General features: G+C 45.5%; 1 protein-coding gene and 1 long non-coding RNA gene across 3 annotated transcripts in view, besides 2 other annotated features; one reads left to right on the plus strand and one right to left on the minus strand.

Moving 5' to 3' along the window:
* Positions 1 to 19,135, minus strand: part of PTGIS (prostaglandin I2 synthase) — a 64,264-nt gene extending 45,129 nt beyond the window's left edge. For both annotated transcript variants that reach the window (NM_000961.4, XM_047440325.1), the window contains exons 1-2: positions 19,041 to 19,135; positions 1,064 to 1,187 (exon numbers count right to left, since the gene is read on the minus strand). In NM_000961.4, coding sequence (NP_000952.1) covers positions 1,064 to 1,187; positions 19,041 to 19,114 — 198 coding nt within the window. In that variant the 5' untranslated portion in view covers positions 19,115 to 19,135. The remainder of the gene's footprint in view (positions 1 to 1,063; positions 1,188 to 19,040) is intronic.
* On the plus strand, positions 19,042 to 22,932 carry LOC101927486 (uncharacterized). Its single transcript, XR_244188.4, has 2 exons — positions 19,042 to 19,171; positions 22,211 to 22,932. It is a non-coding gene; the product is annotated as an uncharacterized LOC101927486 (long non-coding RNA).
* Positions 19,435 to 20,051: an enhancer, noted in NCBI's record as "H3K27ac-H3K4me1 hESC enhancer chr20:48184974-48185590 (GRCh37/hg19 assembly coordinates)". NCBI's record gives its function as "activates a minimal SCP1, AML or CMV promoter by ChIP-STARR-seq in naive H9 embryonic stem cells {active_cell/tissue: H9 hESC(naive)}" and the evidence as "EXISTENCE:reporter gene assay evidence [ECO:0000049][PMID:30033119]".
* Positions 20,052 to 20,666: an enhancer, noted in NCBI's record as "H3K27ac-H3K4me1 hESC enhancer chr20:48185591-48186205 (GRCh37/hg19 assembly coordinates)". NCBI's record gives its function as "activates a minimal SCP1, AML or CMV promoter by ChIP-STARR-seq in naive H9 embryonic stem cells {active_cell/tissue: H9 hESC(naive)}" and the evidence as "EXISTENCE:reporter gene assay evidence [ECO:0000049][PMID:30033119]".

The raw sequence follows: 25,508 nt of genomic DNA on the forward strand, positions 1-25,508 counted from the left end.
GGTCGTTTGAATAGATGTTGTAAGGATGGATGGATGAGATATAAATAGATGTATATCCAGTGGGGAGACATCGAATACTGAATATAGCTGAGTGTTGGGTGGATAGTGGCAGATGAACAGAAAGATGCGTAGATAAACAGAAAAATGAAAGTTGGTGGAAACTGACCAGTTATCCCTCAGTATCCATGGAGGATTGGTTCCAGGACCTCCTGCAGATACCAAAATCTATGGATGCTCAAGTCCTTGATTTAAAATGGCATAATATTTGCAAATAACCTACATGCATCCTCCCATATACTTTAAGTCATCTCTAGATTACTTATAATACCTAACACAATGTAAATGCTAAATAAATAGTTGTTAAACTATATTTTTAGGGAAGAATTACAACAAAAAAGTCTAAAAAAGTTTAGTACCAACACATTTTCCCCCAAATATTTTCAATTCGTGGCCGGTTGAATCCAGAGATATGGAACCCACCCATGGATACAGGGGGCCAACTGTATACAGATGAAAGTTGGATGAACATTGGATCCATGAGTGGAAGAACTCTGGGTAGATCTGGGCAGACACATGAAGGGATAGAAGATGGATAAATGAATTGACAGATGTCGGGTGAATCTATGGAAAAACTGATGGGTGAGTGGATAGACGGAGGTTGACGAATGAATGCTGAGTAGATATAAGGATGGAAGGACGCTTAGTAGACACCAGGTGGACAGGCAGAAGAATGGGATGGGAAGATGGATGTTGAACGGATGGAAATGGAATGGATAGATGGAGGTCAGCTGCATGGATATACAAGTATTGGATAGATATTGAGTGACTGCATAACTCCACGCTGGGAAGAGCAAGAGGGAGACTGAAGGGATGATGTTAGGTCAGCATTGAGAGTGCAGCTGGACAGGCAGCTGGATAGAAAGTTGGCTCGACCACTCAGATGGATGTTGGATGGTGGGGTGGGGGGGTTGGCATAGGGACATATGTTGAAGGAATCAACAGAAACCAGATATGAGGCCCAGCTGCTCATCCCCATCCCTCCCGAGGCACAAGAGGCACTTACAGTAAAGATGTCACCGTGCTTCTCCTTCATCCTCGTGAGGAAGCTGGCAGCATCTTTTCCAAAGTCCAAGGCATACCCCAACCAGGGGATGCTGCCCAGGTCCAGGGGAGGCTCACCAGGTCGCCTACAGAAGCCATGGCACTTGTCACCATTTGATAAGGCAAGGAAGGGCATAAAGAGTGTAGGTTGCAGAGTGTGATTTTGAATGGAGCAGTCGGGGAGGTAATCTGAATGGAGCACTCGGGGACTATTGCCTCACCTGCTCCTTTTCTCTTGTAACATGTGGATGACCACACCCTCCCTCTTTCCCCTCCAGCCCACTTTTCCCCCTTTAAATACTGAAACCCTCAGAGTCATCTTTGAAGAAAGGCACAGACCACAGACTGTTTCTGTGATTCTGTGGTTTTTCTTCTCCCTGGCATTGTCCTTAACCTTGGTAAAATAAACATCTAAATTGATTGAGACCTAGCTTAGATACTTTTTAGTTTACAAATTGGCGACCATGAAGGGACTCCATGTAGGTGGCCCTGGCCTTTGACAAATCTCCTGTTGGTGTTTGGTAACAGCTTGGTATCTGTCTTCATTGGTCAAACCAGTAGGGCTGGGAGCTCCCTGCTGCAGAGAATCCCGAATCTCTGAAAATTTGAGATCTAAGAGAGCTACAATTTGAGAGCTAAGTTTTATTTTGTTGTACAACTCCTTTTCTGGAGTATTACTTGCTTCCAACAAGGAAGGCAAGTTTTCCTGCTTCCATGACGATGGAGAGCACGTAACTCCCTTCTGGAGTTTCAACTCACTTCCAACAAGGAAGGCAAGTTTGAAGTTTTTTTTCCTGCTTTGTAGATGGTAAAGTGCAGGCCAGGCACAGTGGCTGATGCCTGTAATCCCAGCACTTTGGGAGGCCAAGGCAGGTGGATCACTTGAGGCCAGGAGTTGAAGACCGGCCCGGCCATCATGATGAAACGTCATCTCTACTGAAAATACAAAAATTAGCCAGGCATGGTCGTGGTGCATGCCTGTAGTCCCAGTTACTCGGGAGGCTGAGGCAGGAGAATCGCTTGAACCCAGGAGGAGGAGGTTGCAGTGAGCTGAGATTGCTCCATTGCACTCCAGCCAGGGCGACAAAGCAAGACTCCGTCTCAAAAAAAATAAAATAAAATTTAACCTGAAAGACTGGTTCAGGCCGTGGTGGGAAGTGGGGGTCAGACATGACTCATTATACCCTCCAGCATTCATATCAACACAGACCTTAAGTCTGATAAGAAACCTTTACATCTATTCGCTCTGAAGCCTGCTACCTGGAGGCTTCATCTGCATGAGAAAACTTTGGTCTTCACAACCTCTTATTATAACCCAGACATTTATTTCTATTGACAATAACTCTTGCAACCAATTGCCAATCAGAAAGTTTTAAAATCCACCTATAACCTGGAAGCACCCCCCACATCAAGTTGTCCTGTCTTTCTGGACTGGACAAATGTATATTGTCAATGTATTTGATTGATATCTCCTGTCTCCCTAAAATGTACAAACCGAGCTGTGCCTTGACCACGTTGGGCACATGTCATCAGGATCTCCTGAGGCTGTGTTGTAGGCCATGGTCACTCATATTTGGCTCAGAATAAATCTCCTCAAATATTTTACAGAGTTTAACTCTTTTTGTCAGCAGTGTTTATGTATGTGTGTGTGTTTATGTGTGTGTGTATGCGTGTGTATGTGTGTGTATGCATGTGTATGTGTTTGTGTGTGTGTGTGTGTGTGTGTGTGTGTGTGTGTGTGTATGCCTTTATGCTTTCTTTTTTCTCTCCTAGGTTCTTGTTTTTTGAGAAAAAGATTTTTTCTTCCCAGTCGACTGAATTCTGTTTTCTCCATTTACTTCTGCCTGTCTCTCCTTCCTCTTGCCGCCCTCTGCTGCATAAGGGACCTAAAATAATTTCTAACAGCCTGGGATTCCTTAAAGAAAACAGAGAAGGTGCCAGACTCCTTCTGGGGAGAAACCTCTGTTTTTCCTTATGAAACCCTAAGAGTGTAAAAAGACAAGTTCCTCTCAGATCTTAAACTGATTGTTTTTGTATTGCGTTATCTGATTTCTTTTTTTTTTATTAACTAAAATAGCTATTACTACAGGAACTACTCTTGTGTGTTTAAGAGAGGGAGTGGTTAAAATACTTAGAGAAATGCTTTTGTAACAAAGTGCACTGTAAAAGCATTACATGGCTTAGTCTCATGATATCTCTCTCCTTTTAGAGACCCAGGATTCAGTGTGGACTCTGCCCAGAGCTCAGAGGTCCAGTTAAAAGACAGAGACTAAATTTAAATCTACCTATCTAAATAAAGTTTGTCTCCTCATAAAATCCTACAGAAGATTTCTATAATTTTATGTTTGGCTTGTGGCTTGGCATCCATTTTTAATCTCCCTCTAACACACCCAGTCTCTCTCTCCCTCTTTCTTTCTCTCTCTCTCTCTGTCTGTCTCTCTCTCTCTTTAGAGATATACATTTCCCTATCTGATTTTCACCCAAGAGTTGTTCCTTTAGTATGCAAGTTTGGCTGACAATTGCCTAGGGTAATGAAACAGGTTATCAAGAAATTGGAAGTCTAAGATAGTTGTCCTTTTTAGACCCAGGAGTCAAACACTATAACTTAACAGCACCAGGACTTAAAAACGATACAGAAAGTCACATGGATGTAATAACTTTTATTTAAAATTGTTTTATATCAGCTTTCCTAGGCAAATAAAAACATAAAACAACTTAGACATATTAAGAAAAGCCAGGAGCTTTATAACAGGAGAAAAAAAGGGGTCTTATGAATCTTATCAGATCTACTGCTGCCTGTCTGTCTATGTATTTATATGTCCTGTATATAATGTTTCACTACAAAAAAATACATAAGAGGTCTAATAAATTGGCTTAAAGAAAAAAATCAAATACTTTATCAGAAAAATAGAAACTTTAAGCCCAAATGGTTTTTCAAGCTCACATGACTTAAGTAAATCTTTAACAAATAAGCTGGTTTTAAAATTATTGGTAAAATAAAATTAGAAATGGTTTCAGAATTGTCAATATACATTATTGTTTTATATGTATTAGTCAAGGGGTTATATATTTATCTCTGCTAGATATTATAAGGTGACAAAATTTGGCATGAGGATTATGAAGCTATAAATCCAGCCCAAAAGAGAATTATCATTGTGTAACTTTTTGATAAATAAGGCATTTAATATTGTTCATTTAATGAAAACAGTTAAATCCTGAGTTATTGGCAAAAAACAAAAAACACACATGTATTTAACTTTAAAGTTCTTACTTAAGTAAACATCTGAAATTCACAGCTATAAAAATGATTAACAGGGAAATAACTTTAAATAGTGACTATCACAGTTTTCATAAGTAATCTAGGTAAACTATTTTAAAAAATTAATTAGGTAAATGTAATGAAATAAATGCTTATAAATAAATGTCATATAATTCAGAATCTAAAGTGATATTAAATTAAATAATAGATACCCATTAAATGTCTGGGTCATTTCCAATTTTTCCTTAAAAAGTTACAGAAAAACATTTTTCTTAAAAAAGTGTTCTTATTAAAAGGAAATAGTTTTGTCTAATTCAAAGGTTGTTTATTAAACAACGTAAAAAGAATAAGTAAATAAGAAGCATGTAAAGAAAATTATAAAGGGGTATCTTTGGCAAGAAAGGTTAAAAGAAAAATAATTGTATATGGAAAGAATCCCGTAAAAATTTTTTGTCCTAAAATAAAATGATTGATCATTTACGAAAGAGAGATGTTTAGGATAAAACAGGAAGCATGTTGTAAATGGTTTGTGTAAGTCATAATAAGGTTTATAAAAAGAGAATTTATGAAAAACATTTTATGTGAACAAGTTGACTATAATTAAAAGGAAATTATTTATAATAGTCTTTCTAGAGATTGGGTTTTGATATTAAAAATGCACTAATACACTAAAGAATTGGTTAGAACAAAATTTTCTTAAGGTATTATTTTACTGTTAATAACATTACATGAGATTTTAATTTTTTTAACTCAAAAGTTCAACTTTTATTGCATCTTGCTATTTTCAGCTTTCTCTCCTCTTTGAGAAGGACTGAGAGAATAATTCTCTCCATCAACATTTTCGTCAGCTCATATAAATTTTTTCCCTCAGGTCCTAACTGTTGTAGCCTGATGCTAAAAATGCTTTATCATAAAGGTCTAAAGGAAATGTTTTCATCCAATATAACATTCTGTGCTCCTGGCATTTCTTAATATGTCTAAATTGTTCTGTGTTTTGATTTGCCTAGGAAAGCTGATATAAAAAAATTTTTAATGAAGGTTATTACATCCTTGTAACTTTCTGTAATGTTTTTAAAGTCCTGGTGCTGTTTAGTTACAGGGCTTTGACTCCTGGGTCTAAAAAGGACACTGAGTCCTGCTAAATCTTAAACACTGACAGCAGTTAAAGCATCATCTTCAGACCTAGGAGGAGATGACATTCAAAATAAGCTGCATTTGTGAGACATGGAGCCAGAAATGAAAACTATTCAACCTCTCTAGGCCCAGGGACTATCATGGAAGAGGTGGGCATATGAGATTGTAAGGGCTGATTCTGAGAGATTAAATTAGTTCAGAGTTTCTCTATTAATTAAACATTAACATCAAAGGCACACTGATGCAAGACCAGCATCTGGGCTCCTGTGTCAGATTAACAAGGTTTTCTTGAAGCATTATCCCACCCTTTAAAAAATTATAAAAGTTTAGAAAATGGTTTATGGAAATTACATCTTAGGGTCAAGATGATTAAAATTTAATAGATTTGTTTATAAGATTTGAGAAACAGGATTTAATTGGCCTCATGCTGTATTTATTAGAGCTTATTATTTGGAAAATTAAGTCTCCTCTCTCAAAGAATAAAGGTTTTTAGGCCAGGTGTGGTGGCTCATGCCTGTAATCCCAGCACTTTGGGAAGCTGAAGCGGGTGGATCACTTGAGGTCAGGAGTTCAAGACCAGCCTGGCCAACATGGTGAAACCCCGTTTCTACTAAAAATACAAAAAAATTGGCTGGGTGTGGTGGCAGGTGCCTATAATCCCAGCTAGTCGGGAGTCTGAGGCACAAGAATTGCTTGAACCTGGGAGGTGGAGGTTGCAGTGAGCCAAGATTGCACCACTGCACTCCAACCTGGGCGACAAAGTGAGAGTGTCTCGAAAAAAAAAAAGAATAAAGGTTTTTGCCTTTTTTCTGAAATCTCTGAGTTATACCTTTGGCTAAATGAATGACTTATTTTACAATAACCTGTGATTCTATTTTGTGATGTCAAGTGTTTTAAACTTTCTATATTTGACAAACTTTCCAAAATAAAATAGTCAATTCAGTCCTTTTGACCTCATTAATTTTTTGGCATTAGGTCCTCTGAAGTCCAAAAGAGACATATTCGGCTTATTTGGTAAAATAAAATCATACAGGAAGCATTGTCAAATATGAAATGGTGTTTAATCTTCTTTGGATTATATTTATATAAATGAGTTGCTTATATAAATGAGTATGTGTTCCAAAATTGTATGAGATTCCTGTGATTCTGATATGACTTAGTATACATCATCAGTAGTAATTATGATTATTATGTAAAACTATTGAATACCACAGACGTAACCAAATTTCCTTGTCAATTGTGTCTTTAACTATGGCTGTTCTAAGACTTTTGTCATCCACAGTTGTTTTAGTTTGATCTTTTTATAGGTGATTTATAATCAGCTATAGAACTCTGAGGAGTACTCTTAAACATGGGCTTCTGACAACCTTAGAGATTGTGCCATTGGAATAGGGAGAAAAACTTCCAGGACTGTCATGGAGAACTGATGTATTCATGAGGACTGCTAATCCCATCTTGAGCAGAACAGGAGTTAATTGCATGAACTGAACTAACAGGAGATTGAAATAATCTTTTATGAGTTTTTGTTTAAAACATTTGTTGATTCTTTTTGTTTTGTTTTACAGAGTCAAGAAAACTTTCTCTTCTTTTAAGCTATTTATAGCTTTTAACAATTCAGTAAAGTATACTCTCATGAGAAAAATTTAAAACAGAATTTCTTTCTCTTTACCTATTTTTTCCAAAACTTGGAAACTATTTGTGAGTATTCTTAATTTATGGCAATGTAGTTATTTGCCTAAGTATCTTTTTTCTTTTATAACAGGGCATAATTGGAGACACTGGTTATTTTACCAAGGCTTTAACTGGAATGACATATTTTCAGACTACTTTGAGAAAATAAGGCTGAACTATAGAGCTAATAAAAGCACCTTGGAAAAACTGGCTTCATATACCCTGTCGTTTACAGGGTCCTGACCTGTGGAAAGCAAAGAATGTCACTTTTTGAATTCACTCAATTCATACAGGTATCTGCAGGCACAGCTAAATCCTTGGCTGGGTGTGAGGCTTTTAAAAAGGTCTAGACTCAGATTCCTTATGGAAAAGCTTCCAGCAAAGCCAATTTTAAAAAGAAGAGAGAGCTCATATGGCAAATGATCAGTCTTGCTGCATTTTATGAAAATAATCAAGCCAAGTATAATATAACTAAAACTTATTTTACAAATAAGTTGGTCCTACTATGATTTTGTCTTTAATAAAATTGGGGAATTGGAGAGAGAAAAGTCATGTTTCAAAATTAACTATAGTACACCTGTTATTAGAGTCTAGACTTGTCTAATGTTTTTCCATTTTTATTATTTTCCACAATTTGGACTGAATTCTAAAAATTCTCCTGGCTCCAAGTCTCCAAAAGAATGTTTTCAATGTTTTCCCTTCTTTTTTTTTTCCTCCCCTCATTTTTCCTGATGTGAAATCACTAAAAGTTAAGCTGTGCTTTTCTTAAAGCCCTATAAACTGAACTTAAACTTTGGAAGAAAATAAAAGCAATCTCTTTATATGCAGAAATCATTTTCATACCTGCCTACTGATATACGGACTTGAGAGTAATATGGCCTCTATCAGTTTTCCAGGTTCGTTCTTTCTTTTTTGTTTATCTGCTTACTTCCTCCTTTTTTCCTGTTTTCTTTCTCTCTTATTTTCTTTGTGTGATGTGAGACTTCACAACCTACTAAAACTGAGCTTTCCTAACAATGTGGGACCTATTCGTCTAGAAATAAACCATCCTAGACATGAGAGATCAGACAAAACCTGAGACCGGAGATTCATTTTCTTCTAAAATGCTTTCTCCAAAAGATCTTAAATAGAAAAGGGGGGCAGGCATACATGGTGGTTCATGCCTGTAATCCCAGCACTTTGGGAGGCTGAGACAGGAGGATCACTTGAGCCTAGGAGTTCAAGACCAGCCTGGGAAACAGAGTGAGACCCCGTCTCTACTAAAAATTAAAAAAATTAGCCCAGCATGGTAGCACATGTCTGTAGTCCCAGCTACTAGGGAGGCTGAGACAGGAAGATCGCTTGAGTCTGGAAGGTTGAGGCTGCAGAGCAAAAAACGTGCAGGAAGAAAGAAAAGAAAAAAAAAAAGAAGAAAAGAAAAGAAAACCAGGGAGAAAAGAAAACCGGGGAGAAAGGAAAATAAAAACTCAGGACACCAATTCACTCTGCCATGAGGAAAAAATTAAACTGAAAGCTGAGTCATGCAAGAAGCTGCCTTTCCTACTATTCCTAAGCAGATAGCTACAGATAAAAGTTTCAGTATCTCCATAGGCAGCTACTCTATGTTCACCTTATTTTATGTAAAGTGCTGATTTACTGTGCATGAGAGAAATACATCATTGACTATCGCCCTACCCGTTCCTTTTCTCTTGTGACATGGGGATTACCATACCTTCCCTCTTTCTCTTACAGCCCACCTTTCCCCCGCTTTAAGTATTGAAACCCTCAAAGTCGTCTTTGGAGAAAGGCACAGACCTCTCTACTGGGCATGTCCTTAACCTTGGAAAAAGAAACATCTAAATTGATTGAGACCTGTCTCAGACACTTTTTGGTTTACAGGTACCACTTCACCCACCAGGATGGCCATAATAAAAACAAAAATTTTAAAAAAGGAAAATAAGGCTGGGCATGGTGTCTCATGCCTATAATCCCAACACTCTGGGAGGCCAAAGTGGGAGGATCTCTTGATCCTAGGAGTTCAAGACCAGCCTGGGCAACATGGTGAGACCCTGTCTCTACAAAAAATACAAAAATTAGCCAGGTGTGGTGGTGTGCACCTGTAGTCCCAGCTACTCAGGAGGCTGAGTTTGGGGGATCACTTGAGCCTGGGAGGTGGAAGCTATAATGAGCTGTGACTGTGCCACTGGACTACAACCTAAGCAAGAGAACGAGACCCTGTTCCCACCACCAAAAAAGGGAAGAAAATAAGTGTTAGCAAGGATGTGGAGAAGTGAGAACCCTCATACATTGCTGGTGGGAATGTAAAATCGTGCAGCTGCTTTGGAATGCAGTCTGGCAGTTCCTCAAAACGTCAAGCATAGACTTACTACAAGACCCAGCAATGTACCCTAAAGAATTGAAAACGTTGGATCTTATACAAATGTATACACTATTATTCGTAAGCAGTGTCAGAGGTGTTCAAACCAGAGTGACTCCATGTTGAATAGGAGCTGGGTAAAATGAGGCTGAGACTTGCTGGGCTGCAATCCCAAGAAGAAGTTAGACAATTTTTTTTTTTTTTTTTGAGATGGAGTTTTGCTCTTATTGCCCAGGCTGGAGTGCAATGGCGCGATCTCAGCTCACTGCAACCTCCGCCTCCCAGGTTCAAGTGATTCTCCTGCCTCAGCCTCCCAAGTAGCTGGGATTACAGGAATGAACAACCATGCCCGGCTAGTTTTGTATTTTTAGTAGAGACAGGATTTCATCATGTTGGTCAGGCTGGTCTCGAACTCCTGATCTCAGGTGATCCACCTGCCTCCGCTTCACCAAGTGCTGGGATTAGAGGCGTGAACCACCATGCTGGGCCAGGAAGCTAGGCATTCTTAAGCGCAGGATGTTTACGATCAAGGGAACACGTTAAATCATGCTTACCCAACAGACCCAAGACTTAACAGATCCAGGACTTAACAGACCCAGGAAACATCCTGCTGTCCCGATATTTTATGAACAAAAGCCTTCTTAGTTTAAGAATAAGTTTTGCTTTAAAGATAATAATATAGATTCTTATGGAAGATTGTTAGGTAACAATCTTTTGTCCCCAGCCCTTGTGGTAGAAGAGCACACCTCTCCCATGATTTTTATCTTCTATATAAACAAGAAGAATTGTAACTAAGGCAGACACATTCCTCCTCTTGCCTTCGGAAACGCCCTGGTCTGTCTATGGTGTGGCCACTCTTTCGTTCCTTTACCTTCTTAATAAACTTGCTTTCACGTTACTCTGTGAACTCACTCTAAATTATTTCTTGCCTGAGATCCAAGAACCCTCTCTTGGGGTCTGGATCAGGACCGCTTTCGGGTGACAGCAGCATTATTCGTAATAGCTGAAAAGTGAAAACAACTCAAGTGTTCGTTGAGTGACGAACGGATAAACAGAATGTGGTGTATCAATGCCACGAAACGTTACTCAGCCACAAAAAGGAATGAAGTACTGATTCATGCTACGATGTGGGTGAACCTTAAAAACATTAAGCCCAGTGAAAGAAGCCAGACACAAAAGGCCACATATTGTATTAATTCATTTATATGAACTGTCCAGAATTGGGAAATCAATAGAGATAGAAAGTACATTAGTGGTTGCCCAGGGCTGGAGGAGGGGGAAATGGGGAGTGACTGCTAATGGGTACATGGTTTCTTTTAGGGGTGATGAAAATATTCTGGAATTAGATGATGGTGATGATTGCACAACCCGGTGGATATACTAGAAACTATTGAATTATACACTTTTTTTTTTTTTTTTGAGACGGAATCTTGGTCTGTCGCCAAGGCTGGAGTGCAATGGCGCGATCTTGGCTCACTGCAACCTGCACCTCCCGGGTTCAAGCAATTCTCTGCCTCAGCCTGCCGAGTAGCTGGGATTACAGGCACCCGCCACCACGCCCGGCCAATTTTTTGTATTTTTAGTAGAGATGGGTTTCACCATCTTGGCCAGGCTGGTCTTGAACTCCTGACCTTGTGATCCATCTGCCTCAGCCTCCCAAAGTGCTGGGATTACAGGCGTGAGCCACCATGCCCGGCCGAATTATACACTTTAAAAGGGGAGCTGGAGGGCCGTGGCATGATCATAGTTGACTATAACCTCAAACGTTTGGACTCACGCAATCCTCCAGCCTCAGCCTCCCGAGTAGCTGGCACTATATATAGGCACATGCCATCACACCTGACTTTGTTTTTCTATTTTTTTATAGAGACAGGGTCTTGATGTGTTGCCTAGGTTGATCTTAACTCTTGGGCTCAAGCACTCCCTGTCTCAGCCTCCCATAGTGCTGGGATTACAGGCATGAGCCACTATGCCCAGCCCAAAAGGGTGAACTAAATGGGATATGAATTATATTCCATTAAAGAAAAAAGAAAACAGGGTGGTGTGAGACAGTGAGGGGGGCTGGTTTACAAAAGGTGGTCAAGGAGGGCCTCCTCAGGAGATGCCACGTGAGCAAAGACCAGAAGGATGTGAAGGGAGTGCTCTGGGAGGGGCAGGGAGAAGAGTGTTACAGGCAGAGGCAACAGCAAGTGCAAAGGTACTGGGGTGGGAGCATGCTCGGTGAGGTTTTCGAGACAGCAGGAGCCAGCGTGGCTGGAGTGGAGAATGTGGGGACGAGACGTAGGCGATGATGCTGGAGATGACTTTGTGGACCACGAGGGCCAAGGCCAAGGTGGGAGTCCGGCTCCTATGCCACGCGTGGCAGGGATCCACTGGAGGGTTTGCAGCAGGAGCCAGTAAGTGATGTGACCACACCTTTAAAGGGTCATACCAGAGAAAGACAAGAGGAAGGAAGGAGATGTGTCAGGGAACTACCGTGACCCCCCCAGGAGAGCAATGTGGTGGAAGCAATGGCCATGGTCCCCGGGGAGCCAGACCTAACATCTGAGTCTCCCACTTTCAGCACAGGGCCTTTTGTTCCACACCCAGCAGTTCAGGGAAGCAGCCACTTCTCTTCCTCCTTTCCCCCTCCCTCTCTACCTCCCTCTGCCCCTGTCTCCTGCTCCCTTTTTCCCTCTACCTGGCTGCCCCCAGTATAACCCAAAGGGTGGGACAGCTCGTGGGCAGGAGCAAATGGCCAGATTTGAGGGCCAAGGCTGGGAAGGATGGGAGCAGAAGCAAAGATGAAATTTGAGGGCCTAGGAAGTGCCTCTCCCAACCATTCCCTCCTCTCCCCAGCCCATCCCGGCTTCTCTAGTCAAAGAGGAGACTTGCAAATTTGAGCTCTGTGAGTCTAAGGAGGTGCAGGGCCTTGCCTTGTGCCTCATCTTTTTGTGAGCCCCTGGGCTAAGGCCACTTCTCCTGAAGTCTCCACGTGTCGTGCTGCCCAAGTAGCCTTGGAATAACTGGTTCATGGCAGCCCCCTTCCAGCCCAGGTCAGAGCCTGGCAGACTGGACCCAGAAGCAGTGATTTTTGCATAAGAGGCAGGAGGGCATGGTCACGATGAGCCCAAACTTTAGCACCATACTTCCTGGCTTCAAATCCCAGCCACGCTTCTTGCTGGCTGTGTGACTTAGCTTCTCCATGCCTCTATTTCCTCATCTGTAAAATGGAAGCAATAATGCTACTGACTGCATTGGGCTGTGCCAAGGATGAGGGGAGTTACAGAGCACCTGGCACCTAGTAGCTGGGAAGCAGCTGAGAAGCAGGAGCAGTAAGATTCCTGGGCACCATTTACCTAGTGCCAACTACACATCAGGAGCTATACTTGGCATTTTCCAAACGTTTCCTTGTTTGGAAATAATGGCTAACATTTAATGAACGCTGATGGTGTGGGAGACACCACACTGAGGACTTTATCCCAGTGACTCAATGAATCCTCCCCCTAACCTTATGAGGAAGCAATTATTACTGCCAGGCCCATTTTACAGAGGAGGAAACTGAGGTGCAGAGGGCTAAGTCACATGCCAGAGGGTCCAACATAGAGGACTTGGGTTTCTAATCCAGACAGGTCTGGCTGCAGTGCCCACCCTCTTGACACTACCCTGGCCCCCAGTCACCCTAAGTGGGCATTTTCACCTCCATTTTGCAGAGATATTCCAGAGACCTACTCAAATGCAGGCCCTGAAATTTTCTCCTAAAACATCTTTGCAGGCGGGAGCAGGCTTTCTTCCCCTGCCTTTCTCCTGGCTGTGGCCGGAGCTCCCCAGCGAGCCAGGTGTTATTCCTGGCAGCTTTCCTCTTTCCCCAGAAAAGTCCCAAGGAGGCGCAGACAAAGGCAGGAAGCCCGGAGCCCAGGCGCCTGACCCCTGATGTTGGCTCCTCCAGCCTTGGGCCCTCAATCCAACTCAGGCCGTGGTCACATTCCAGGGTGACTCAGCCTGCAGCCAGCGGGGGCGAAGGAGGCTCTGTTTTGGGGACTGTGGGCTCTAGCCCCACCCACGGACACTCTCACTTTTTTTTAGGTACTGCCAGGCCCTGGCGGGCAGGGCGGTGGGCCCTGACCTTTCCATCCCCGGCTCCTGCCCACACAGCCGGTTTCCTGCCCACCCTGGGTCAGATCCCAAGGCATCTTTTCTGATTTCCGACTGGAGCCCCATCACATGGGTTCCTCTAAAAACGGCCTATTCCTCACTCACTGACCCCTGTCGCCTGCCCTGGATCTCTCTCCCACTTGACCCTTTGTGAACCAGGGAAAGGAGTCAAGGATGGGATGTCACCCGCCTCCATGCCCCCTGACGTATCGCATCTTCACTAGATGGAAGAGCCATGAAGGGAGGGCGTGTTGTTCACTCCAGCACTCAGAACAGTGGCTGGTCTGAATGAATCATGTATGCAGTCGGTGCTCAATGGGCAGCACCTGCCTCCCAGAGTTGCTGAGAGGGTTAAGAAAGCCAATGCAGGTTAAGCACTTGACACAGAGTCCATCTTCTAGATTGTCCAGAGCAGAGGCTGGCATGGTTCAGCTGTGCAATGTTGGGTAGACTGCCCAACCTCTCTGTTCAATCATTTCAACTCAATGCAGGGCCTTAAGCTCTGGGAGGATTTAATGGGGAACAAAAGGGGGCTTAGTTGCACAGGTGAGCTGGAGCAACCCAAAATTCTGTTTAACCTGCTTAACCCATTCTTCCCCCAGGGCTCACCCACAGGCCTCCAGGGTTTTCAGTCTGCCATTAACAGGGTTTCCCAGATGCTCTTCCATACCTGCCCCGCACTGCTACCACTGTGCATAAAAAGCACGTGGCCTTGCCCTAGTTTTTGTTTTCTGGTTTTTGAAATAGACACAAATTCACAGAATTATTTCTCAACACAGGAAAAAACAGCAGAGGAAGTACAGTGGTAACTAGAATAGCTGCATGCTGGAGAGGCAATAGGGAGTAGTGGGGACTGTGGCAAGATTTAGAGAGGGTGCTACCACTGAGTCCCAGGAAAGTATTGCTAGATCTTCCCATTTTTCAGAAGAAGTTGGAAATCTAGATTTTTGTGTATGGAATCCCCCAATTTTCTCCCCATGTCCCACACAGCACAAACCCAGCCCATCCAGGGCTGAATCCAGTCACGGACCACTGTTGGGTGACCTCTGGTCAGTGCATGTTAGAATGAGACAGATTTATTTGTGCCTACAAATTCTGCATCCTGCAAGGGCCCAGACCAGCCACTGGGCCACAGTGACCCTCGCTTGATGCCACTATGCCTTCCGGACCCCCAGAAAAGGAGCCTCCCAACCAAGAGATCTCTCTCAGTGCTCCCTGTGGTGGTCACACAAGCCCAAAGGAAGAGATGCAGTAGCCTGGTGATATGGCTGGGGCTTGAGAGACCACCTCCATGAGCCACCTCGAAGTACAGATAAACTGAGGCCTGGGAAGCAGGAAGAATGCTTCTGATACTCACAAGGCAAATCAATTAGTTTCAAGGGGCCCACAAGCCATACTCCTAACTCTCAGCTCACCACCCTCATGTTCACCGAATGGGGCTCGAAAATTCTTGCTGTAATTGCAGAAATTTGAATTTGAACTGGGAACTACATGACATTAAGAATTATCTTTTTATATTCTCAGGCAAGAAAATAGAATTGTAGTTGTCAGTTTTATATGCATTCTGAAATATTCAAGGGTGGAATATCATGACATCTAATTTTTTTTTTTTGAGATGGAGTCTCGCTCTGTTGCCCAGGCTGGAGTGCAATGGCGCAAGCTCCGCTCACTGCAAGCTCCGCCTCCTGGGTTCACGCCATTCTCCTGCCTCAGCCTCCTGAGTAGCTGGGACTACAGGTGCCTGCCACCACGCCTGGCTAATTTTCTGTATTTTTAGTAGAGACGGGGTTTCATCGTGTTAGCCAGGATGGTCTCGATCTCCTGACCTCTTGATCGGCCCGCCTCAGCCTCCCAAAGTGCTGGAATTATAGGTGTGAGCCACCGTGCCCAGCCTATGTCTAATATTTTTTAAATAATGTTAATGACTGTCAAATCAAGGTATAGGTACATGGGGCTTCTTACCGTATTCTTTTTCTTTTTCTGTATAGTTGAAATGTTTCCTAATTTAAAAGTTTTAAATTAAATTCTAAAGGTAAAGACGGAGTTGCTCACTCCCAGAAGTAGTGGTGTCTTACTGGGATAAGCATGAATTTTGGAGGGGCCTAGATGTGGAGTATAATTTTTGTATGACCTTGGGAAAGTCACTTCATCTTTTTAAACCTCAGCTGTATGATAAGGGTGATGGAAATTACCTCAAGGCTTGGTCAGGATAAAGAAATGAGACAAGGGAGCTGGAGAGCCTTGCTTATTTTAACCCAAACTGGATCACCATTCAGACGGCATCAGGGTCACCCACTTGTTTCACTTGTTTGCCCTTTTTTTTTTTTTTTTTTGAGATGGAGTCGCTCTGTCGCCCAGGCTGGAGTGCAGTGGCAGGATCTCAGCTCACTGCAACCTCCATCTCCCGGCTTCATGCCATTCTCCTGCCTCAGTCTCCTGAGTAGCTGAGACTACAGGCGCCTGCCACCACGCCCGGCTAATTTTTTTTGTATTTTTTTTTTTTTTAGTAGCGATGAGGTTTCACCGTGTTAGCCAGAATGGTCTCGATCTCCTGACCTCGTGATCCGCCCTCCCGGCCATTGTCCTTCTTTAAGAATTTTTTGCTTGTAGTTGCATTTCTTAGTATCTAAAAGTCACATGGTTCTAAGACTTTTGAGTGTTCAGATTACCAGTATAATGTGTGGGAAGACTGAGAATTCATTCTTCCTGTGAATTAAAAATTCTTGCAAAGCCAGGCGTGGTGGTTCACACCGGTAATTCCAGCACTTTGGGAGGCTGCGGTGGGAGGATCGCTTGAGCTGAGTTTGAGACCATCCTGGACAACATGGCAAGATGCCATCTCTACAAAATTTTTAAAATTAACTGGGCATGGTGGCACACACCTGTAGTCCCACCTACTCAGGAGGCTAAGATGAGAGGATCACCTGAGCCCAGGAGTTCAAGGCTCCAGTAAGCTATAATTGTACACTGCACTCCAGCCTGGGCCACAGTGTGAGATCCTATCACTAAAAGTAAAAGCTAAAAATTCTTACAGCCCAGAGTTTTAATCCAGACAGACCTTGAGCAAGTTGCTTAGCCTTTCTGAGCCTGTTTCCTCCTCTGTAAAATGGAGATAACCAGAGTGTCCCTAGCTGAACTGGAAGGAGAAAGTGAGATTGGGGATCTAAACTGGGGTCCCCAGGGTCCATGCACCTACCCTCAAGCTGCCAGTGACCCTCATTCCCACACTTCTCCCCACTACCCACTGTTGACCCTTCCAAGGTGCCCACAGGTATAAAAATCAAAGGCTCAGCAGGGCGCGGTGACTCACGCCTGTAATCTCAGCACCTTGGGAGGCCGAGGCAGGCAGATCACCTGAGGTCAGGAGTTCGAGACCAGCCTGGCCAACATGGAGAAATCCTGTCTCTACTAAAAATACAAAAATTAGCTGGGCATGGTGGCACATGCCTGTAATCCCAGCTACTGGGGAGGCTGAGGCAGGAGAATCACTTGAACCCAGGAGGCAGAGGTTGCGGTGAGCCGAGATCGTGCCATTGCACTCCAGCCTGGGCAACAAGAGGGAAGATCCATCTCAAACAAACAAACAAACAAAAAAAGAGCCCATAACGTATTCACATGATGGAAGACTCCAGAGAGGATCAAAAGAATGGATTCGATCTCCTTGTAGCAAAAAGATCTGCTTGTAGCAAAAAGAACAGATGTCAAAACTAAAATCTGGAGTGAAAAGAGCAAGCAACATAATGTCTGAAAACATTTCTATACAGTGTATTGAGAAAGCCTGACAGGAAAAATAATTCATTTCTTCCCTGAGACATTTATTCACTGTCTTTTTCTTTTCTTGTTTTAAGGCAAATGATTGACTACACAGTTGTAAATTTCAGCTGAAAAGATGTCTGGAGGTTGAAGAAAAATACAGTGAGCTTATTGTTTGAAAATTCAACTACCATATTGTTTAAAAATCAAAAAGTTCCCAAGGTTTCCGGAATTTTCAGACACGAATGTAAACTAACTCTCTCTTACGTGGCTCTGTATTAGCTACAAGCTCATGTCTATGTATGTAAGAGTAATTTTTATGTAAGAGTAATTTTTAAAACATCTGGGAGACTGAGGAGGTATGAAAACTAAAGGCAATGTGGTAACTTGGGGCCGGATCCTGGAACAAAAGAGGACAGTAATGGGAAACTGGATAAAATCCCGTGAAGTTTGAAGTTTAGTTAAGAGTAACGGACCAGTGTTGGTTTTTAGTGGCGACAAATGTCCCATAACAATGTAAGATGTTAACAATAGGGAAAACGGGGTGAGAGAAATACAGGAACTTTTTGTACTATCTTTGCAACTTTCTGTAAATCCCAAACTAGTCTCAAATAAAAAGTATATTTTTTTAAATATGGAAGGTTCTACCCAGACTCAGCAACAGGAGAGGCCCAGAGAGGGAGAGAGGACTAGACTTCAGGGGCTGGGGGAGGGTTAAGGGGCTTCGGTCTTACCTATAACAGGATAAATATTTGTGTTAAGTCGAATGTATTCAGCTATTCCTTATGCAATTCAAGTTAACTTAAAAAATATTTTATGAAAAGGAGAGCTACAGCTATCTCCTTGATTTGAGGCTGTCTTTACTTTTTCTCCTAAATCACAGATGCTCAATGGAGCTGGAAAACCTTTGGGACCAGGAGGCTGTGACATCTGACCCTGGCTCCGTTCTGTCCAGGCTGTGGGACCTCAGGGGAAGGTAGAGACTTCATAGGCCTCAGTTTCTCCCTGGCAAATGAAATTACTAAGCCCACCGACCCCCGTCTTCCAGACGGGGAATCCCGGGGTGGGTGGTTCCAGGGCATGATCAAGACATCCCCCAGGGGCTCTACACTCCGCTGGCTCAACACTCCCATCTGTGTAATGGGTTGAGGAGCGAGGCTATCCCTATAGGACTGCCGAAAGCAAGGCAGGGTTTGACAGCGCGTAGGTGGGTGCCAGGTGCAGGCAGAGGCTGGAGAGTGGAGAGCGCTTCTTCCACCCGGGCCACGCAGAGGCTGTCCCCGCACGGCTCCCCACCCACAAACCCTCGGTCCTCACCTGAAACCCCCTCCTAGGTCCCTGCCGTCGCGCTAAGGGCCAGACTCGGACTTGTCGCGGTGGGCGATTCGCCCCGGGGGACCTACCGGACCCCGCACCTTCCCACCTTGCACCTTCTTGGCAGGGGGAGCACGGCCTGGCCCCCTCACCCACGTGCGGGGCCCCGGGACTCCCACCTCCGAGGGTCTCGCCTTGCCCGGGATACTGGAGCGGGACTCGGGCCGGGCCGGCCGCGGGCTCCGAGACCCTTGGGCTGCAGCCCGGGCGGGAGCCGCCCCCTTTGTCTGGCGGGGCCGAGCGGAGCAGGACACTCACCGCGTGCGGCGGCGGCTCAGTAGCAGCAGCAGCAACAGTGCGGCCAGGAGGCCGAGGAGCGCGGCCCAAGCCATCGCGGGGCTGGCGGGGCTGGCGGGGCTGGCGGGGCTGGCGGCCTGGCCCACTCCCAGGTAAAGTTCCCCGCCCCCACCCGGCGCGCCCCTCCCACTCCGCCCACCCCAGCCCGCTTTGGGGCGGGGTGGGGGGGGTGGGGGATGGGGCCCTCCGAGGTCCGCAGGGGTCGGACCGGGGCGCTCTGTTAGAAACCCTGCTCCCCCCAGCTCAGGCCTGATGGAAAATGTGGGAGGGAGGGGAGGGGAGAAGGAGGGGGAGGGGGAGGGGGCGGAAGGGATGTGGTGGGCTGGGGAGTGATCAAGGGGAAAGGAGATAGATGGGGGACTGAGGGGGATGTGGTGGACTGGGGGGTGATGGAAGGGAGGGGAGAGGGAGAGGATTTACAGGAAGGAAGAGATTATATGCGGGGAGGGAAGAGGGATGGGGAAGATGGGAGAGGACTTTTGGGGAAGGGAAGAGGAGGGAATGTGGGAAGACGGCGGGACGATGGGGAAACAGCCAAGGAGGTATGGGGAGGAGGGGGCACAGTGGGAGGAGAAAATGTGGTGGGAGGGGACGAACATGGAGGAGGAGTGTAAGGGGGTCAGGAGGAGCTTTCCCACCACATTCCACATTCCACCTAGACAGAGGAAACCCCCCAAGGCTCCTCCTCACCCCATCCCCCACCCCAGGCGTGCTGGGGACCTGGAGTTTTCCATTCTGTGGTCTGGGCTGGGAGGGCTGGTCTGGATTATATCGCACCCTATAGTATCTTCAGTAACTACTGGGCAGGGGGTACAAGGGTGTCTCAGGGAGTCCCCTCATCCTCACCTGCTTTGGGGACAGATAGTGCCCGTGAAGTATGCACCCTCTACCTGGTGCACGTTAGGGCCTCCGGATGTGGTGGCCATTGTCATCGCTACCTGGTGCTTGGGGTGCCAGCCCCCTGTGCCCGCGGCTCTGCAATGTACCACCCCAGGGTGCTGATGAGAACTGGGGGTCAATCCAGCCTCACTCCACGCCCCTGCCCCCACCATCCCCATTCCCACCCTGGGAAGCGTTGGGCAGGTAGCTCAACCTCTCTGAGCTCACCTCATTATCTGGAAACAGGGAGGGCAGAGTTGTGCTTACCTCTGGGGCTGTTGTGAGGAAGTGATGAGAGCTTGACACTAAAAGGAATCACAAACTGTTGAGTGCTTGGCACACTAAGTTTTATGAAACCATGGGCTGAACCTGGAGGTAAGACCCAGGAGGTCTTGTTCTAGTCCTGTATCCACCCATTCAGTGCCGGGTGAGCTTAGGCACGTTTCATTCCATAGTCCCAGCAGAGCTCTGGAGAAGCTGTTGCTCCTCCTGGTCTCCTGGCTTCCATCCTTATCAGCCAGGGTCCTGACAAGGCCCTTCGAGAACCAGCATGATCCGCCCCTTCTCACCTTTACCTGCCTGACCCTATGCCCCCGACTCTCTCCCTCACCCACTCTGCTCCAGCCACACTGATCTCCCCATCTTTCCCTAGAGGTCCCACTGCAGGGCCTTTGCACGTGCTGTTCCCTCTGTTCGGAGCATTCTTCGCACAGCCTGCTCTTTCCACCACCTCCCCGGTGCCTCTATCTCTGCTCAGCTGTCACTGCAGAGAAGCTGTCTTTGGCCACCTGGTCTAAAACAGTCATCTCCTCTTACTGATTTTTGTTTCTTTGTTTTTTTGATAGTTTTTTTTTCTGGCAGTACTTCACATGTCCTGCTATCATACTCAAGATTCATTCATTTGCCTGCTTAATGTTGGCTGTCGAGGCAGCTGGATGACCCCCTTGTGGCCTCAGCAGATTCAGAACAGCAGGAGGCAAAAGGAGTTTTCTGATCCTCTTGTTTATTTTTCCAGCTTATCTGCCAGAGAAGCCAACAATCCCAAGAAGGCCATAGAACGGGTCCAGAGGATTTTCTCCAAATTTGGGGAGCTCCAAAGGGCTGTCTGCTAGCAGTGGGGTTCACAGCTGGGCTTGGCCGATCCTCAGCTTTGTGACCCCAAGCAGACTGCTCCACCTCCCTAAGCTGAGGTTCCTCATTGACAGAATGGGGAAAAGAGAACCTCATGGAGTTGAGGTCAGGAACAAACGACCTGGTCCATGGGGCACACCTATGTGAGTGCCTGTCACACCATGAGCATCAGGGAAAGTTAACCGCAATTAGCGCTTATACCAGTTCCGCTCCTCTCCATTATCTGTGATCAGGCTTGGTCTCAATTTTCCCATCTGAAAAATGGGAAGAACAGTTCCTTCCTCATGGGGCTGCTTTGAGAACTGAATTAAATGAAAAGAGAATGAAATCACCCAGCACAGGGTCTGGTATACAATAGGTACTCAATAAATATTAGTTCTTCTACTCCCCACCCCTGGCTTCAGTGCAGACCAATATCACCTCAATACAAATATCTCTTCCAGATACTCTCTTCCCTTCTCGACCCATAGACAAAATCCTCCCAGGGAAGGAGAGGCAGCTGCTCACACACCAAAGGGAGATGAATGTGAGCCTCTGGTTCTTCCTGGATTTGTTCAGGAGTCGGCATATGTTTAGGAAGGTGGCCAGGCCCCCTTCCCAGAGAATGACCCACCATGGGTCTGAGCTGGTCCAGGAAATCCACCTTTGCTAGTGATTTGTCCTGAGGTGGGCACCTTCCAGATATCTGTTGCGGGCTTCTAGAAAAATGTGTTTCCTTCCTATTTGCCTTCTCTTCTGCTTTGGGGGCAATCGTGTGGGAATGTGATTAGTGGGGGAGCTGAGGGGGGCTGTAGTGTTATGAGGGAAGGCCAAGAAAACTGCAGAGCCCCAAACCAGAGCTGCGGAATCACCATCCCTGGAACCACCTGCCTATAGATTTCTCATTTAATGAGCTAACCACACGTCTGTGCTAGGACACCATGAGTCAGATTTTTCTAATACTTGCAGCCAAAGACATTCCCAACTGAGACGCCTTCTAGATATGGCTGAAGGGAGGACCAAATGAGGCAATGATGCATCCGGAGCACCTCTGCAGGACTGGCCCATGCGAGAATTCAAAAGTGTTGCTTTGTTTTATTATTTTTACTTTGCTTACTGTGTAAGCTTTCTATGTTTATCAGGCTGACAGGACATCCAACCCTCTGGCTATGGCATCTTGGAGGAACAGGCAGGCCTTGAAAATAGCAGAAATTCCGAATTCCCCTGCCCCGGGAGGACTCAAAGGACCCTGCTGAGGACAGAGCTGATATGGCCTCAGAATAAAGATGAGGGAAGACCATCCCAAGGAAGACCCCTCTAGCCCATGGCAAAAGGGCTGGAATACGCAAGGATTTGAAAAGCAAGTTTTGCTTTCCATATAAACCTAAGCAAGTCGCTTAATCTGTGAGCCTCAACTACTTTACTTGTGCAATGGGCATGTTGCTGGTAGTGGTGATAGCAGGGAGCCACCGAGAGAGCTTCCAAGTGTGCCATCTAAGCCCTCCTCTGGGGAAGGGAAGCTCCTCTGGGGAAGGGAAACTGGACCCCCGGGAAAATTTATTCTCCCAGGGACGAACATCCAGACATTTCCCTGTAGGAGCCTCAGTGTGTTCAGATGTTCACTGTCCAGTAGAAACAAGACATCTAGGCAACTCTCCCATCTCACCAAGCCTCTGCTCTCTTCTGTGGCCACTGTGGGGTTGTGAGAGTAATGTCAAGACCCAACCCAATTAGAACACAGGGAATTTTGCCTGGGAAAGGGAGCCCTTCTACCCTACACCCCTGCTTTCTCTCTTCCAAGGATCAGGTCTGATTCATGTCTGCATCCTAAAGGCTACAAATAAACTGTGTCCGGAAAGGAAAATATTATGTGTATTGCCTTCTTCAAGGCTAAAAACCAGTCTCAACAGAGAGGGGCAGTTTTAAATATTTTTTTGTAACAATAGTTCTAACTTTAGTTAGTAACTGAAGCCATCTGAAACACTTTTTCATAATAATTTATTTATTCCCCACAAAGAACCTATAAAATGGGTAGTAAAATTATTCCGAATTCACAGATGGTGAAATCAAGGTCCAGAAAGAGTCACTTCACCCAAGGTCACGTAGTACTTCCTTTGATAAGCTAGAGCATGGGAATTTGATGGCTTCTTAGGACAAGCTAACTTACTCCCTGGTGCTGCAAACACACCCTGGGCCTTCCCACCTCCACACCTTTGCTCATGCTGTTTACCTGCCTGGAAGCCCTCTCTTTCTCTACCTTTTGATTTTTCCAAATCGGTTAGGAGCAGGTTCTCCAGGAGAGCCAAGATGAGATGAGATATACTAAAGGCTTATTGAGGGAGTGCCAGGGAGTAAAATGAAGAGGGAGCCAGAGAGGGCTGGGAGAAAGGGACAGAAAGGAGGACAAATGGAAGGAAGGGACAGAGGAAAGAAGGGACCGTGGGCTGCAGTGCATTCTTAGAAAGGTCAAGTCTGGCCGGGCACAGTGGCTCATGTCTGTAATCCCAGCACTTTGGGAGGCTGAGGTGGGTGGATCAGTTGAGGTCAGAAGTTCAAGACCAGCCTGGGCAACAAGGTGAAAACCCCGTCTCTATTAAAAATACAAAAAATTAGCCAGGAGTGGTGGCTGGCACCTATAATCCCAGCTACTTGGGAGGCTGAGGCAGGAGAATTGCTTGAACCTAGGAGGCAGAGATTAGAGTGAGCCGAGACCGCACCACTGCACTCCAGCCTGGGTGACAGAGCGACTCTGTCAAAAAGAAAAAAGAAAGAAAGAAAAAGAAAGTAAGTAAGTTAGTTCAAGGCTAACAGGTTGTCCTTGAGCCTCCTGAGGAGCCCTATGTCTCCCAAGAACAAGTCTGCTTCCCCCAGTGATTGGCTAGGAGCAAACCCTGGGAAGCATGGCATATCTGTCAATCAGGCTCCACCAAGGGAGGTCCCAGAGGTGTGTTTTCATGGCTGCTGCAGCTACGAAAGGAAGCACAGCTGCCGTCTAAAACTGGAACAATGCAAGAATAAATTCTTCCACTTACAGAAGCTAAACGAGGTTGAGAGGTGGAGGGGAAGGAGAGACCCAAACCGCAACGTTTCTGGTGTTTTTGTGCTGCTAAAGAGAGAGTGGTAAACTCAAGTCTTCGAGCAAGTATTGCAAATGAATGAAGTGAGCCAGTCATATCAGGAAGGCAACAGGGAGGGATGGGAACAATGGAAAACTAGAGAGGGCTGCCCCATCCAAAAGGAAGCAGCTTCTGGCAGTACCAGCCAACTAAAGCCACGTAGAAATACATGCCTAGTGTGGCCAGATCTTTAGACTCAAGAGAAGCCAGAAATAATGGCTCCAATTATTTTAAAACGCTGCATAGACCAACAGCACACACCTGCCCCCAGATTTTTAGCCCTGCAGTCTAGTTGTGCCAAGGGCCAGTGGTTTAAACATTTGGGGTATGTAAAATAGGTTTGGAGTTGGGATGTTGAACAAAATTGCTCTGTAGAATTAAGGAAGGACAACAGAGTTTTAGGGGGCAGCCTGAAAGAGGGGGCAAAGACCAGGCCGACATGAGCACAGATTGGGGGCCTGTCCCAGTGTGACATCCTCTGTGGAATTAGGAGCCAATAAATGACCATTTCTATTGGTGATGTGTCATACTGAGTGTTTAGTTGTTTGCTGTCTTGGGCTGTGGAATAACACCACACATACACTCATATACATACACACGCACACACACACATGCACTACTCTCACATACACACTCACATGTTGCCCCAGTTACCCCCAAACGTTCAGAAACAATCTGCTACACACGTCAAGTGACCAACGCATCCTGGTTTGCCCAGACTTTCCCAGTTTTAGCACTGAGAGCCCTGCATCCTGGGAAACCTCTCGGTCCTGGGTAAACCAGGAAGGTTGGTCACGCTATCACCACACCTCAGCGTAGCGTGTGAGTGGCCAGAGATTGGGTCAGAGCTGTGGCAGCCACCTTGGAGCCTGAGGAGAATCTTTGCTAAGTCACACAATTAATTAGCCACCCCTGGAACTGTGCTGCAGTAGATTAGATCATAGTCTCCAATTTTTACCCACTCCCTGTATCAGAATTAGACATTCACGCCCTTGGCTGCAGGGTTGCGGTGCCTCCCACTATGAGCAGAGAATAGTATCTCCCTGACTCAGTGATGGTGGACTCGGGCCTGTGACTCAATTTGATCAGTGGAGGATGAAGAAATGACCAGTTGCCAGTTCTGAGCAGAGGTTTCACGAGGAATCACATATTTCCACTTGACCTTGGTTTCTGCCTTGAGCCATGACCCACAGGGCAAACCTGAGCTCAACCTGCAGCCTGAAGTAGAGAACCCCTAGCTGACCTGCAGAGGTCCGAAGAAGAAAAATGTACGTGTTGTTACAAGTCATGGAGATTTTGAGATCTTCTTAAGCAACAAGAATTG

Source organism: Homo sapiens, chromosome 20 (genome assembly GCF_000001405.40).
Source record: "Homo sapiens chromosome 20, GRCh38.p14 Primary Assembly".
In the NCBI taxonomy this organism is placed as follows: domain Eukaryota; kingdom Metazoa; phylum Chordata; class Mammalia; order Primates; family Hominidae; genus Homo; species Homo sapiens.